Below are 16,017 nucleotides of genomic sequence, written 5' to 3'. Positions count from 1 at the left end.
ATTTTGTTGCCTGTACTTTTAGTATCACATTCAATAAATCATTGTCAAATCTCATCTTATGAAGTTTCCCCCTAGGTTTTCCTCTAAGAGTTTTATAGTTTTACATCTTAGCATTTAGCCTTTAATCCATTTCGAGTTATTTTTTTTTTTTTTTTTTTTGAGACGGAGTCTCGCTCTGTCGCCCAGGCCGGACTGCGGACTGCAGTGGCGCAATCTCGGCTCACTGCAAGCTCCGCTTTCCGGGTTCACGCCGTTCTCCTGCCTCAGCCTCCCGAGTAGCTGGGACTACAGGCGCCCGCCACCACGCCCGGCTAATTTTTTGTATTTTTAGTAGAGACGGGGTTTCACCTTGTTAGCCAGGATGGTCTCGATCTCCTGACCTCATGATCCACCCGCCTCGGCCTCCCAAAGTGTCGAGTTAATTTTTGTATATGAGGTTACAGGCATGAACCACCATTCCCCGCTATCAACTTTATTCTTTTTGCATGTGGATATAGTTTTCCCAACACCATTTGCTGAAGAGACTGTCCTTCTCCCATTGTGAGATGTTGGTGCCCTTGCTAAAGATCATTTGACCATATGTACAAGGGTTTATTTCTGGGCTCTCTATTCTGTTACATTGGTCTATATGTCTATCTTTATATCAGTACCACATTGTGGGTTTTTGGGGGTTTTTTTGAGACGGAGTCTCACTCTGTAAGCCCAGGCTGGAGGGCAACGGCACTATCTCAGCTCACTGCAACCTCCATCTCCAGCTTCAAGTGGTTCTAATGTCTTAGCCTCCCAAGTAGTTGTGACTGTAGCCACGAGCCATTATGCCTAGCTAATTTTTTTATTTTTTGTAGAAATGACCTTTTGCCATGTTGTCCAGGCTGGCCTTGAACTCCTGGGCTCAAGCAATCCTCCCACCTTGGCATACCAAAGTACTGGGATTACAAGTGTGAGTCAGCACATCCAGCTGCTATGTCGTCTTCTGTCTCCTCGTGTTTCTGGAGAGATATTCGTTGTCTCTGCCCATATAGTCCCTTTTGTATCCAGTGACTCTTTGCTGCTTCCTCGAGATCCCGGGACATAGGATTCCTTTAGAAAAGTGAGAGCCCTGGGGCTTTTGGTCTCATCTCCTGGATGCATCCCTCACTCATTCCTCTCTGGGATCCTTCCATGTCCAAAGGGGCCTCTGGAAAGAGAGGCTAAGATCCCCCTTTGCTGAGAATTCCAGCTTTCCCTCTGCTCTCCTTGGGATTCACAATCCTGCTTCCTTTCAGCACCACTGATCCTTCCCTGGAGCACTCTTCTCCCTTTGACTTTTTCTGAAAACTTTCTCATTCTCCTTAAAAATGAAAGCCAAGGAGCATTACTAGCTAGCTAGGCTTTCTGCCTTGCTTCCTGTCTCCCCAATGCACTAGAGCATCTGACTCCATGGCTGAATGAGAGGAAAGGAAAGAAAAAATTTGTGATAACTGAAAATGTTGCTGCCCATATACCTCTACCTTGCAGACCTCCAGAACAAACTCTTCCTATGGAATGATAAATGATGTGATGTGATGTGATAATGATGTGATAAACCTGAATACTGTGAGCCCAACAGGTCTTCCCTCCGGGTCCACATGCCGACTTCCCTCACCATTCTTCATAAAGCATGGTTTCTGTCATGTGGTGGCATCTGGAAGATCAGTGTTTAAATTCCACTACAGAGTAGCTGTGCGACTCATTTCTCTGAACTTCAGTTTCCTCGTTTGTGAAATGGGGCAGTTATTTCTTCTTTCCTGGATTGTTGTGATGATTAGAATGAGGCTGTACGTGCAAAGCAACTAGCACAATGTCTGGGTGCAAGAGTTTTAAAAAGTGAAGCTATTGTTATTCTAACCTGGGCCTCTAGCTCACTTATATTGGAAAGCCCAAACAGAAAACACTCATTTTGACCAGTAGGAGAAACCCTCCCCTGCTTTTGGCCTGGCTGCACTCACAGAAGTCTACGAAGACTGAAGACTGTGCAGCAGAGCCCAATATTACCCAGACCATAGCTCACACATGCTCTTCTGCACCCAGCAGAACACTTCTTTATTCCTCTATGGTGGATTTAATCTTATGAGCCTCCATCCAGAGGGGGAGCAGGGCAAGTATAAGGTGAAAGTGGACTTCACTCTTTTTTTTTTTTTTTGAGATGGAGTCTCGCTCTGTCGCTCAAACTGGACTACAGTGGCCCAATCTCAGCTCACTGCAAGCTCTGCCTCCCGGGTTCACGCCATTCTCCTGCCTCAGCCTCCCAAGTAGCTGGGACTACAGGTGCCCGCCACCACGCCCAGCTAATTTTTTGTATTTTTAGCAGAGATGGGGTTTCATTGTGTTAGCCAGGATGGTCTCGATCTCCTGACCTCGTGATCCGCCTGCCTTGGCCTCCCAAAGTGTTGGGATTACAGGTGTGAGCCACTGCGCCCGGCCAAAAGTGGACTTTACACTTGCCAATCTCATTTTTTTCCAATTTAAACAGCCTCTTCAGGAGGACTCAATCTCTTCCAGAGAAATCCACAATTGTTCCTCTGTCTTTGCCTCTTCCTTCCTTTGTCCAATTCCAATAGTACAAGCCAGGGATCCCTAGTGCCTTTGATGGTCTTACAGAGAGCCAAGTTTGCTGGGGTTCCTGGGCCCCTTATCTTGGTGTATTTGGTGTGAATTAGTGGTCTGGTCTTGACTCATTCAGGCTGGTAGTCTTCCCTGTGAATTGGCCCCACTGTGGTCTTGTGATGCTGCTGCCTAGAGTTCTGGTTGTTATTCCTGTTCAGCGAGGTCCACTTCACCCCTCCAGGAAGGCCTGCTTTGCCAAGTGCTCCAGCCAGAGTTAGCTACATTCTGTGCTCCCTGCCTCTCAGGGGACTTGGAACCTCAACATCACCAGCACATCACACATGGGCTCTGGTGTCGGCCACTGCTCTCTGCCATTGCTGTGCTTTCATCTCCAGCTTGCTGCAGGCCCCCAGCAGAAAACCCTGCCAGGACTTCAGATGGACAGAGCCCCTTTGTTGTTGGCTTTCCTTTAATCTAACATGTTGTTTTGACTAGGAATGTTTTTGGCTGCAAGTAACAGAAACTCTAACTAACAGTGACATAAACCATAAGGGTTTTCATAAGGTCCTGGAGCAGGTGGTATCAATGGTTTGGCAACTCCGTGAGGTCATTAAGAGCCTCTCTGTGTTGTCCCTCTGTTATACTTGGCCTATTTTTCTTATCCTTTTCAGCTAATCATCATAAAATGGCTGCCTCAGCTCCACCCATCACGTTTGTGTTTAAGGAATGTATAGGTGAGACCAACGAGCGCAGGCAGCGTTTCTTTTGTGCTGGTCCCTTTCATTTGAAACAAAATGTCTTCCCCAGAAGCTCTAGAGGAAATTTACGTCTAATCAGTCAAAACTAAGTCACATTCTATTCTCAAGGAAGGCTGAGAAAGAGAGTATTTGGTTTTCCAGCCTCTTCAGGAGGAGGTTACTGGGGAGAAGGAAATTGGGGGCACCTTGTGAGTAATCACCTCATGTCCTCCACCCACTTCCCCCTTTGGGACTTTGGAATAGAAAGGGGAGATTAGGAACCACTGTTTGACCACTGCTTCCCCGAGGAGCATGGACAATGGGAAAGGATGCAAGGTCTGAATCCCTCATAGGGATACTGTAAGGATCAAAGGAGATTATTTATGTAAGCAGTTAGCACTATGCTGGCACAGAGTAAGCACCCAATAGAAGTTTGCTATTGTTATTCTTTTTATTGATACTTTGTTATTGTTAATGCTGCTGTTTTCTCCTTTCTTGACTCCTCCAGGCCAAAAGAGCCAGGCTTTCCACTTCTTCTCTGAAAGAAAATTCCCCTCCTTCATATCCTTTTTCTATTGCAAGAGCAAAACTCCATTATCAAATCAGGCTTGCTTTTGAGTCCTATATAAAACTTAAGTAGAGTGATCATACAATTTATTATACAAACTGGAACGCTTTGGAGAACAAACAAGAACACTTTTTGGTGGAATTATGGGAGTTCAAGAGGAAAAAAATTTTAAAAACAACACTTTTTGAGTAATAGCTTTGTTGAGATAGAATTCACATACCATACAATTAACCTTGCACCTCGGTGATTTTTAATATATTCACAATTGTTCAACTATTGCCACAATCAATTTTAGAATATTTAATCTCTCCCAAAAGGACACTCTATATCCTTTAAATATAACCCTGCTATTCTCCATCCTCCCCAGCCCTAGGCAACCACTAATCTACTTTCTGTCTTTATATTTTGGCCTATTCTGGACATTTCATATAAATGGAATCCTATGATGTGTGGTCTTTTGTGCTTCCTTCTTTCACTTAGCATCATGTTTTCAAAGTTTCAAAGTTTCAAAGTTTACCCATGTGATAGCATGTATCAGTACTTCTTTGCTTTTTATTACTGAATAATATTCTATTGTATAGTTAGATCACATTTTCCTGTTCATTCACGGACATGTGGATGGTTTCCACCTTTTGGCTATTGTGAATAATGCTGCGATGAATAATTGTGTACAAGTATGTGTTTTTGTATCTGTTTTTAATTCTCTTGGGTGTATGCCTAGGAATAGAATTACTGGGTTAAATGTAACTGCACATTTAACCTTTTTTTTTTTTGAGACGGAGTCTTGCTCTGTCGCCCAGGCTGTAGTGCAGTGGCGTGATCTCAGCTCACTGCAAGCTCCGCCTTCCGGGTTCACGCCATTCTTCTGCCTCAGCCTCTCAAGTAGCTGGGACTACAGGCGCCTGCCACCAAGCCTGGCTAATTTTTTGTATTTTTAGTAGAGACGGGGTTTCACCATGGTCTCGATCTCCTGACCCCGTGATCCGCCAGCCTAGGCCTCCCAAAGTGCTGGGATTACAGGCGTGAGCCACCGCGCCAGGCCACGTTTAACCTTTTAAAGAACTGCCATACAGTTCTAATATCTACACCTTCACATCAACATAGGCTATCTTTTTTTTTTTTTTTTTGAGACAGAGTCTTGCTTCATTGGCCAGGCTGGAGTACGGAGGCACGATCTTGGCTCACTGCAACCTCCACTTCCTGGGCTCAAGTAATTCTCCTGCCTCAGCCTCCCAAGTATCTGGGATTATAGGTGTGTGCCACCACGCCAGGCTAAGTTTTGTATTTTTAGTAGAGGCGGGGTTTCATCATGTTGGCCAGGCTGGTCTCGAACTCCTGACCTCAGGTAATCTGCCCGCCTCAGCCTCCCAACGTGCTGGGATTACAGACAAGAGCCACCGCAGCCGGCTGGCTATTATCTTTTTGACTGTAGTCTTCTCAGTGAGTGTGAAGTGGTAGCTCATTGTGATTTTGATTTGCACTTCCCTACTTTCCTGAATGCCTGATGATATTGAACATCTTTTTTTTTTTTTTTTTTTTTTTTTTTGAGACAGAGTTTCACTCTTGCTGCCCAGGCTGGAGTGCAGAGGTGCAATCTCAGTTCACTGCAACCTCTGCCTCTCAGGTTCAAACAATTATCTTGCCTCAGCCTCCCGAGTAGCTGGGATTACAGGTGCCTGCCACTATGCCCAGCTAATTTTTGTATTTTTTAGTAGAGACAGGGTTTCATCATGTTAACCAGGCTGGTCTCGAACTCGTGACCTCAAGACATCCGCCCGCCTCAGCCTCCCAAAGTCCTGGGATTACAGGTGTGAGCCACTGCATCTGGCCATTGAACATCTTTTTATGTGCTTCTTGGCCAGTAGAGGACCCTTAAAAAACTTTTAATTTTGACCTAGTTTCACATGTACAGAAAAGTTACAGAATAGTTAAAACAAAAAACTATATACCCTTCACCCAGATTTTCCAGCGTTAACACTTTGCTCCATTTCAGCTATTATTTCCTCTCTCTCTCACTCTCTTTCTCTCTCTTTTTTTTTTTTTTTTGAGACGGAGTCTTGCTCTGTCGCCCAGGCTGGAGTGCAGTGGCGTGATCTTGGCTCCCGAGTTCACACCATTCTCCTGAGTAGCTGGGACTACAGGAGCCCGCCACCACGCCCGGCAAATTTTTTGTATTTCTTTTAGTAGAGATGGGGTTTCACCGTGTTAGCCAGGATGGTCTTGATCTCCTGACCTTGTGATCCGCCCACTTCGGCCTTCCAAAGTGCTGGGATTACAGGCCTGAGCCACCATGTCTGACCTCTCTCTCTCTTTTTTTTTTCTTTCTAAGGCTGAAGTGCAGTGGTGCAACCTCTGCTCACTGCAGCCTTGATATCCTGGGCTCAAGAGATCCTCCCACCTCAGCCCCGCAAGTAGTTGGGACTATAGGTATGCGCCACCATACCTGGCTAATTTTTGTATTTTTTGTAGAGATGGGGTTTTGCCCTGTTGCCCAGGCTGGTCTTGAATTCCTGAGCTTAGGCAATCTGCCTGCCTGGCCTCCCAAAGTGCTGAAATTACAGGCTTGAGCCACTGTGCCCAGCATCTGTCTCTCTCTCTCCCCTCACCCCCACGCATATACACTTATACACTTTTTTTTAAAACAATTTGAAAGTAATTTGCATTCATCATGTCCCTTTATCTATGAACACTTCAATGTGGAGTTCCTGAGAACAAGGACTTTTTTTAATGTGATCTCAGAACATTTATCAAAAATCAGAAAACTCAATGTTGATAAAATAATATTATGTAATCCATAGTCCATATTCAAACTTCACCAGTTGTCCCAATATTCTATGTTCAAGTCCAGGATCACAGATTACATTTACTCATCAGATTTCTTTAATTACCTTTCATGTGAAACAGCTCCTCAACCTTTCTCTCTCTTCAGTGGCCTTGATATTTTTGAAGAGTTTAGGCCAGTTACTTTGTAAAATAGGTTTGTCTGCAGTTTCCTTGTGATTAGATTAAATTCTGCATTTAAAAATATTTTATTTTACTTATTTTTGAGACAGGGTTTCACTCTATTGCCCAGGCCAGAGTGCAGTGATGCAGTCATGGCTCCATTGGAGCCTCAACCTCCCAGGCTCAAGTGATGTTCCCACCTCAGCCTCCTGAGTATCTGGGACTAAAGGTATGTGCCACCACCCCCGGCTAATTTTTGTATTTTTTATAGAGATAGGGTTTCGCCATATTGCCCAGGCTGGTCTCCAACTCCTGAGTTCAAGCAATCCTCCTGCCTCGGCCTCCCAAAGTGGTAGGATTACAGGCATGAGTCACAGTGCCCAGCCTAGGGCATTCCTTTGGGAATCTCTTCAGAAAACACTCTCCCTGAGCCCAGGGGCACCAAGTGGGAGAGTAGGGTGGAAGGACAGGGCAAACCTTGTTGACTAATCCTGTGGACACCAGCCCATTATTGTGCAGTTAGTCTGGGGGAAATAAACACAGGATTTCATGTTTATCTGCCTGAAATATTATCCTTATTTATCTACCTTAATCACTCCTCCTTTTAATGTTGAACAAATTAAATATTTATCTGCCTTAATTCCTCTTCCTTTTGACTGTAGGACAAACTAAATATTGATCCTGCCTTAGTCCCTCCTCCTTTTGACTTTAAGACAAGCCAGATAAAGAAATGTCTTTATTGACATTTTACTTTATTTTATTTTTCTGGTAGTGTGGCAGGTGGGAAGGTAAAGATGACTGGAGAAGGCAAAAGAGGGCTAGATCCTATGATGGGCTGTGTGCTCAGGCAAGGAAGGAATGGAACTTTGCGAGCATTGAAGAAAAGGGTGGCTGTGCTGAGGGAACTGTGTGGGATTAACCCCGGAGAAACAGAGGCTGCGTCTTCACCCAAGGCATGTTTATGGCACAACAAATACAACAAGCAGGAGCTTTTTCTGGCAGAGAAAGTTTCCTTTTTTTTTTTTTTTTGAGTCGGAGTCTCGCTCTATCACCCAGGCTGGAGTGCAGTGGTACAATCTTGGCTCAATGCAACGTCTGCCTCCTAGTTTCAAGCGATTCTCTTGCCTCAGCCTCCCAAGTAGCTGGGATTACTGGTGCCCACCACCACACCTGGCTAATTTTTTGTATTTAGTAGAGACGGGGTTTCACTATGTTGGTCAGGCTGGTCTTGAACTCCTGACCTCAGGTGATCCACCCACCTCAGCCTCCCAAAGTGCTGGGATTACAGGTATGAGCCACCGCACCTGGCCGAGAAAGTTTCCTTTTTTTTTTTTAATGGTGAAAAGATATACACATATTTAGAATTAGCCAGCTGGGCTCAGTTTAGATTATTCCAATTTTGTTGGCAACATCCAGAGCATCGTAATCAGGAGCCAGTGAAACATATTCCTTCTTCTCTCCATCAGGCCAAATCACGGTGTTGACCTTGGCCACATCAATGTCTTAGAACTTCTTCACAGCCTGTTTGATCTGGTGCTTGTTGGCTTTAACATCCACAATGAACACAAGTGTGTTGTTGTCTTCTATCTTCTTCGTGGTGACTCAGTGGTCAGCGGAAACTTGATGATAGCGTAGTGGTCAAGCTTGTATCTCCTGGGAGCGCTCTTCCAAAGATATTTGGGCTGCCTCGGGAGTTGCAGCGTCTTGGGCCGCCGGAAGGTGGGTGACGTACGGATCTTCTTTTTTTGTGTGGCTGTGGACACCTTTCAACACTGTCTTCTTGGCCTTTAAATCCTTCGCTTTGGTTTCGGCTTTAGGAGGGGCAGGAGCTTCCTTCTTCACTTTCGGCGCCATCTTGTGAAAAGGGAAAGTTTCCTTTCTAATACCATTTTCACTTCTCCCGAATTTTGTGGATCGTTTCTTGGTATCTACCCCAGATTTCAGGAGTGTTGGCTGGATCTTAGGGATTGTGAAGTCTTCATTTCCCTGTGGTGAGATCTGAGGCATGATTTTAAACAGTGTGAGGGAAGGAGATCTCCAGGCACTTTAATAGAATGGAGAAGCAGGATGGGATTTGAGAGGAAATCTGATTTTGAAAAAAGGAGAACTAGAGTTGAGTTCGTAATTAACTAGCACCTTAAAGGTCATTCAGCATGCCCATCTGCACAGTGGGTGTAATCACCCTACAGAACAAAAACAAAAAGGCAATGGAGAGGAAGCTGTAAAGCACTGTACATGTTTAACTCATTGTTATGTAAGCTAGCCGAAGGCTTCACAGACTTGAATTCATCTCCCAAGTTCTCTTCCTGTACTGGAAACTCTGCCTTAGGTTGCTTAAAACTTGAGAAACAGAATATTGCTTCCCCTGCCTGCCTTCTTGAGTACACTTGCCTACACAAAGATGCACATCCTTGTTTGTGTGTGTGTGTCCATTTGCTGTGACATTCTTGTGAAAGTCAAAGTTTCCCAGCTGTTGACATACACAAGTTTGTTTGGTGCAACCTGTCAGATGCATCCCTTAGACAGGCCCTTTGATACTCTGGGAAAGACATTGGACTTACAGTCGGAACGAAAAGAAAGAAATGTGATATGTATAGCGTGCAGTGAGTTGGAGTTTTACCTGTATTGTTTTAATTTCAACAAGCCTGAGGACTAGCCACAAATGTACCCAGTTTACAAATGAGGAAACAGGTGCAAAAAGGTTGTTACCTGTCAAAGGTCGTATGTGGCAGAGCCAAGATTTGAGCCCAGTTATGTCTGATGAACTTAGCCTATGCTCTTTAAACTTCTGAATGCTGACCATTGAGGATATCTAAACTTAGATCAATTGCATTTTCCCTCCAAGACTATTTACTTATCAATACAATAATACCACCTTTACCAATCTATTGTTTTGATACGAGACTCAAATATGCCAGATATATGTAAAAGCAACCTACAAGCTCTCTAATCATGCTCACCTAAAAGATTCCCGGGATCTAATAGGCTCAAAGAAACTTCTTCTAGAAATATAAAAGAGAAAATTGGATTATGCAAAAATTCATTATTAATTTTTTTCATCCATCCTTTAATTCAGCAAACATTTATCTGTTGTTGACTTTATGCAGTATGGCCTTTTAAGGATTGGGGGACAGGTGAAGAACGGGGTGCCAGAATGCATCCTCCTACTAATGAGGTCAGTACACATTTGCATTTTAAAATGCCCTGTCCAGCTGGGCATGGTGGATCATGCCTGTAATCTCAACATTGGAAGGCCAAGGCAGGAGGATTGCTTCAGCCCAGGAGTTCAAGACCAGCCTGGGCAACATAGAAAGACCCCATCTCTCAATCAATCAATCAATGCCCTGTCTTTGAAAATAAAACTCTTTAAGAAAGGTTTAATGGGCAGGGTGTGGTAGCTCATGCCTATAATACAGCACTTTGGGAGGCTGAGGCAGGAGGATCACTTTAGCCCAGAAGTTCAAGACCAGCCTGGGCAACAAGTGACACCTCATCTCAATTTTTTAATAAAATGAATACATACATAAGGAAAGATAAAAAGAAAAGTTTAATGAAAGAATACAGTATAAAACAAATCTCTTGGACCTAAAAGTATTTTTGTTCAAGCCAAATATTGTGAATCACCTCTCTGTGTTGAGGATACAGAATATCTAAGCCCAGGAAACTGAGCAGAAAGTTCATGTACTAACTAATCAACCCGAGGCAAGGCAAAAATGAGACTAACTAATCAATCCGAGGCAAGGGGCAAATTAGACGGAACCTGACTCTGGTCTATTAAGCGACAACTTTCCCTCTGTTGTATTTTTCTTTTATTCAATGTAAAAGGATAAAAACTCTCTAAAACTAAAAACAATGTTTGTCAGGAGTTACAAACCATGACCAACTAATTATGGGGAATCATAAAATATGACTGTATGAGATCTTGATGGTTTACAAAGTGTACCCACTGTTAATCACTTTAAACATTAATGAACTTAAAAATGAATTTACGGAGATTGGAATGTTTCTTTCCTGTTGTATTAGTTGGCTCAGGCTGCCATAACAAAATACCACAGACTGGGAGGCTTAAGTAACAGAAATTCATTTCTCACAGTTCTGGGGGCTGGAAGTCCACGATCAAGGTGCAGGAAAGGCAGGCTTCATTCTGAGGCCCCTCTCTTGGCTCACATGTGGCCACCCTCCCACTGCGTGCTCACATGACCTCTTTGTGCTCCTGGAAAGAGGGTGTGGGGGACAGAGGGAAAGAGAAGGAGAGGGAACTCTCTGGTGTCTCGTCTTTCAAGGACCCTAACCTGGGCCACTTTGGCCCAGGCACTGTGGGGTGGGGGGTTGTGGCTGCTCTGCTCTGAGTGGCCAAGATAAAGCAACAGAAAAATGTCCAAAGCTGTGCAGCAAAGACAAGCCACCGAACAGGGATCTGCTCATCAGTGTGGGGACCTCCAAGTCGGCCACCCTGGAGGCAAGCCCCCACAGAGCCCATGCAAGGTGGCAGCAGCAGAAGAAGGGAATTGTCCCTGTCCTTGGCACATTCCTCACCGACCTGGTGATGCTGGACACTGCGATGAATGGTAATGTGGATGAGAATATGATGGACTCCCAGAAAAGGAGACCCAGCTGCTCAGGTGGCTGCAAATCATTACAGCCTTCATCCTGGGGAGGAACTGGGGGCCTGGTTCTGGGTCAGAGAGCAGCCCAGTGAGGGTGAGAGCTACAGCCTGTCCTGCCAGCTGGATCCCCAGTCCCGGTCAACCAGTAATCAAGGCTGAGCAGATCAGGCTTCCCGGAGCTGGTCTTGGGAAGCCAGCCCTGGGGTGAGTTGGCTCCTGCTGTGGTACTGAGACAATATTGTCATAAATTCAATGCGCCCTTGTATCCCTTTTTCTTTTTTATCTGTCTACATCTATAATCACTATGCATACTAGTCTTTGTTAGTGTTTCTATTCAACTTAATAGAGATATGTTATACTTAAAAAAAAAAAAAAAATGGGCCGGGCGCAGTGGCTCATGCCTGTAATCCCAGCACTTTGGGAGGCCGAGGTGGGTGGATCATGAGGTCAGGAGATCGAGACCATCCTGATTAACGTGGTGAAACCCCGTCTCTACTAAAAATACAAAAAAAATTAGCCGGGCGTGGTGGCAGGCGCCTGTAGTCCCAGCTACTCAGGAGGCTGAGGCAGGAGAATGGCGTGAACCCGGGAGGCAGAGCTTGCAGTGAGCCGAGATGGCGCCACTGCACTCCAGCCTGGGTCCAGCCTGGGCAACAAGAGTAAAACCCTGTCTCAAAAAAAAAAAAAAAAAGATAAATAATAAAAAATAAAATATAAATAAAAAAGCAAACTGCAGACTCTCAGCACAAATGATTTCATCCACCTCTGGCACTAAGAGACTTCAACAAACACTGTTGTTTCTAACAGTTCATGGCCACATCCTTAGGATGATGACTTCAGCCCCCTTAAGTTTCTGCCTAATAAAATTCAATGCTGCCCAAAGAATTTATGATTTGTTCCAGGCAAAACCTGAATATAGGCCCCCGAACCCCCTTTTCCTAAAGGATTTACTTTAGAAAACTGGCAGTTAGAAATCCTTTCTCTGTCTCTTGGAAATGTATCTTCTATAACACAGGAATGTCTTTCCCAAGGACCTGGGAGCCATCCTTTCGAAATGTAATCATTAGGTAGGACAGAGCCTCTGTCTCCCAATCTTGGTGGTAGGGTAGGACCCTGATATTGATAAGCACCAGTTCACAATTTGATAAGCACAAGTTCACAATCTGGTCAGTGTACTCATTGACCAAACCTCCCTCCCCTCAACTAGCATCCTTCAGTACTTTTCCCTTAACACATCCTAGCATTTAAAAAGCCTCTTGCCTTCTGGTTTGGTAGAATTGAGCTCAGTTAATGCTGAAGTGTCTCTTCCCTGCCACAGTAGTCTGAATAAAATCTGTCTTGACATTTTTGACAAGTGTCTGGTGCAAAATTTTTCTTTAACAATAGCAAGTGTTGAAATTGGATAGTGTAAGTTTTTTTTTTAGCTTTGTTCTTTTTCAGAATATTTAGGCTATCCTAGGTCATTCGCTTTTCTATATAAATTTTAGCAAAAGCTTATCAATTTCCACAAAAACCTGCTGGACTATTTTTTTTGTTTTTGTTTTTGAGACCAAGTCTCACTCTGTCATCCAGGCTGGAGTGTGGTGGCACAATCTTGGCTCACTGCAACCTCCGCCTCCCAAGTTCAAGCGATTCTCCTGCCTCAGCCTCCCTAGTAGCTGGGATTACAGGCAGATGCCACCATGCCCAGATAATTTTTGTATTTTTAGTAGAGTCACTGTTTCACCATGTTGGCCAGGCTGGTCTTGAACACCTGAACTCAGGTGATCCACCTGCCTCGGCCTCCCAAGTGCTGGGATTACAGGCGTGAGCCACTGCACCCAGCCAGGACTGACTTTTTAATTTTTTCCCTTGATTTCGCAGTATTTGGAATGGACTCACTTTCTTAGGAACGACATTAATTTTTTTTAAATTGGCAGAAATTTATCAATAAATTGGGGGAGGACTGTCATCTTAACAATAGAGTCTTTTAATCTATGAACATGGGATTATTTAAATCAGGGATTAGCAAATTTTCTGCAAAGAACCAGATAGTAAAAATATTTGTGGTATTGTGGGCTATATTCAACTTTGCTTTGTAGTGTAAAAGCAGTGTTGGCCCGGCGCGGTGGCTCATGCTTGTAATCCCAGCACTTTGGGAGGCTGAGGCGGGTGGACTACCTAAGGTCAGGAGTTCAAGACCAGCTGGCTAACATGGAGAAACCCCGTTACTACTAAAAATACAAAAAAAATAGCCAGGCATAGTGGCGCACGCCTGTAATTCCAACTATTCGGGAGGCTGAGACAGGAGAATCGCTTGAACCTGGGAGGTGGATGTTGCAGTGAGCTGAGATCACACCATTGCACTCCAGCTTGGGCAACAAGAGCAAAACTCCATCTCAAAAAAAAAAAAATTGTGTTTCAATAAAACTTTATTTACAAAACAAACAGGGGGCCAGTTCAGGGCCATGGACTGTAGTTTGCTGCCTCTAATTTAGAACTTCTTCAATTTCTCTGAGCAAAGTTTTATAGTTTTTATTGTAAGTCTTGCATTTCTTTCATTAAACTCATTTCTAAGTATTTTATTCTTTTAGGTGTTACTGTGAATGAAATTTTGTTTCCTTAATTTCATTTTCACATTGTTTATTACTAGTATGTAGAAATACAATTGATTTTTACATATCGGCCTTATATACTTGAACCTTGTTTGCTAAACTCATTTATTAATTCCAGTAAAATTTTTTGATAGATTACTTGGGATTTTCTGCATACAGATCATGTGGTCTACAAATAAACACAGTTTTACTTTTTTCTTTTCATTCTAGATGTCTTTAATTTACCTTTCTCTCTCTTTCTCCCTCTACCCCCTTTTTAAGTTGCCCTGGCTATGACCAGTAGTACAATGTTGAATGGAAGTGGTAAGAGTAGACATTCTTGCCTGTTTCCTAATCTTGAGTGGGAAACATTCTGTCTTTCATCATTAAGTACATTAACTGTAGGTTGTCTGTAGTTGCCCTCTATCAGATTGAAGAAGTTTACTTTTATTCCTAGTTTGTTGAGAGTTTTTACCACGAATGTATGTTGGCTATTGTCAAATGCTTCTGTATCTATTGAAATGACAATGTGATGTATTTTAGTCTATTAATCTAGTACATTACATTCACTGATTTTGAGGTTTTGTTGTTTTTAATTAATTAATTTTAAAAACCTCACCATATACTAGAGAAAGCATTACTTGATTTTTGGATGTCACACCAACCTTGCATTTCTGGGATAAATCATACTTGGTCATGGTGTATAATCTTTTGTACATGTTGATGGATTTTTGTTTGCTAATATCTTATTGAGTATGTTTGCATCTCTATTCATGAGAGATATTGTTCTATAATTTTTGTTTATTTTGGTGTGTTTGTTTAGCTTTGATATTGGGGTAACACTGGCCTCATTAAAGGAGTTGGAACATGATCTATCCTTTTTTATTTTCTGAAAGATTTTTGTGAAAGACATAATATTTCTTCTCGTCTTATTGTGTCGTGTCGTGTCCTGTCCTGTCTTTTTGAGGTGGAGTTTTGCTCTTGTTGCCCAGGCGGGAGTGCAATGGCATGATCTCGGCCCATTGCAACCTCCACCTCCCAGGTTCAGGTGATGCTCCTGCCTCCCAAGTAGCTGGGATTACAGGTATGCACCACCAGACCTGGCTAATTTTTTTTTTTTTTTTTTTTTTGAGACAAAGTCTTGCTCTGTCACCCAGGCGGGAGTGCAGTAACGTGATCTTGGCTCACTGCAAGCTCCGCCTCCCGGGTTCACGCCATTCTCCTACTTCAGCCTCCTGAATAGCTGGGACTACAGGCACCCGCGACCACACCTAACTTTTTTTGTATTTTTAGTAGAGACGGGGTTTCACCACGTTAGCCAGGATGATCTCGATCTCCTGACCTCATGATCCACCCGTCTCGGCCTCCCAACGTGCTGGGATTACAGTTATGAGCCACCATGCCCTGCCTAATTTTGTATTTTTAGTAGTGATGGGGTTTCACCATGTTGATCAGGCTGGTTTTGAACTCCTGACCTCAGGCCATCCACCCGCCTTTGCCTCCAATTTGGCTAATTTTTTTATTTTGTAGAGATGGAGTTCTCACTGTGTTGTCCAGGCTGCTCTTGAATTTCTGGCCTCAAGCAATCCTCCTACCTGGGCCTCCCAAAGTTCTGGGATTATAGGTATAAGCCACTACTCCTGGCCTAAAAATGTATTTTTTATACATATGTCTCTGTCAAAATTGGGATAAAGAGAAACAGACTGGCAGTGGTATGCATTTCAAGGAAAATAGGAGAAAGCCTATTTACTTAGGAAAGTGAGGCTCATAAGTACTTCATATACAAACATCATACCTGCTTCACTGGGTTGTGTTACCTGACTTGCCCCGAGCATTTGAACTTGCTACCCCCAATAGAGAATTGACTCCCTCATTAGCCAAAGAGGAATCTGAGACCTGGTGAGGGTGAGCACCTGGCCAGTCATCAGTAAGCTCCTTTTCATCCCACCCACCGGCGGTGATTAGTAACCATGTCTGACAGGCATTTACTTTCCTCCTGGTGAGTAGCTGGAAAAGAGAGTAGT

The 16,017-nt window shown here is 43.6% G+C and overlaps 1 pseudogene, besides 1 other annotated feature; it reads right to left on the bottom strand.

Annotated features, from left to right (window-relative positions):
• Positions 4,824-5,324: an enhancer, noted in NCBI's record as "H3K4me1 hESC enhancer chr10:51528729-51529229 (GRCh37/hg19 assembly coordinates)". NCBI's record gives its function as "activates a minimal SCP1, AML or CMV promoter by ChIP-STARR-seq in primed H9 embryonic stem cells {active_cell/tissue: H9 hESC(primed)}" and the evidence as "EXISTENCE:reporter gene assay evidence [ECO:0000049][PMID:30033119]".
• On the bottom strand, positions 8,149-8,680 carry RPL23AP61 (ribosomal protein L23a pseudogene 61; annotated as a pseudogene).

The sequence above is a fragment of the Homo sapiens genome, chromosome 10, assembly GCF_000001405.40.
Source record: "Homo sapiens chromosome 10, GRCh38.p14 Primary Assembly".
Lineage (NCBI taxonomy): Eukaryota > Metazoa > Chordata > Mammalia > Primates > Hominidae > Homo > Homo sapiens.
This window is presented reverse-complemented; position numbering and strand designations above follow the sequence as displayed.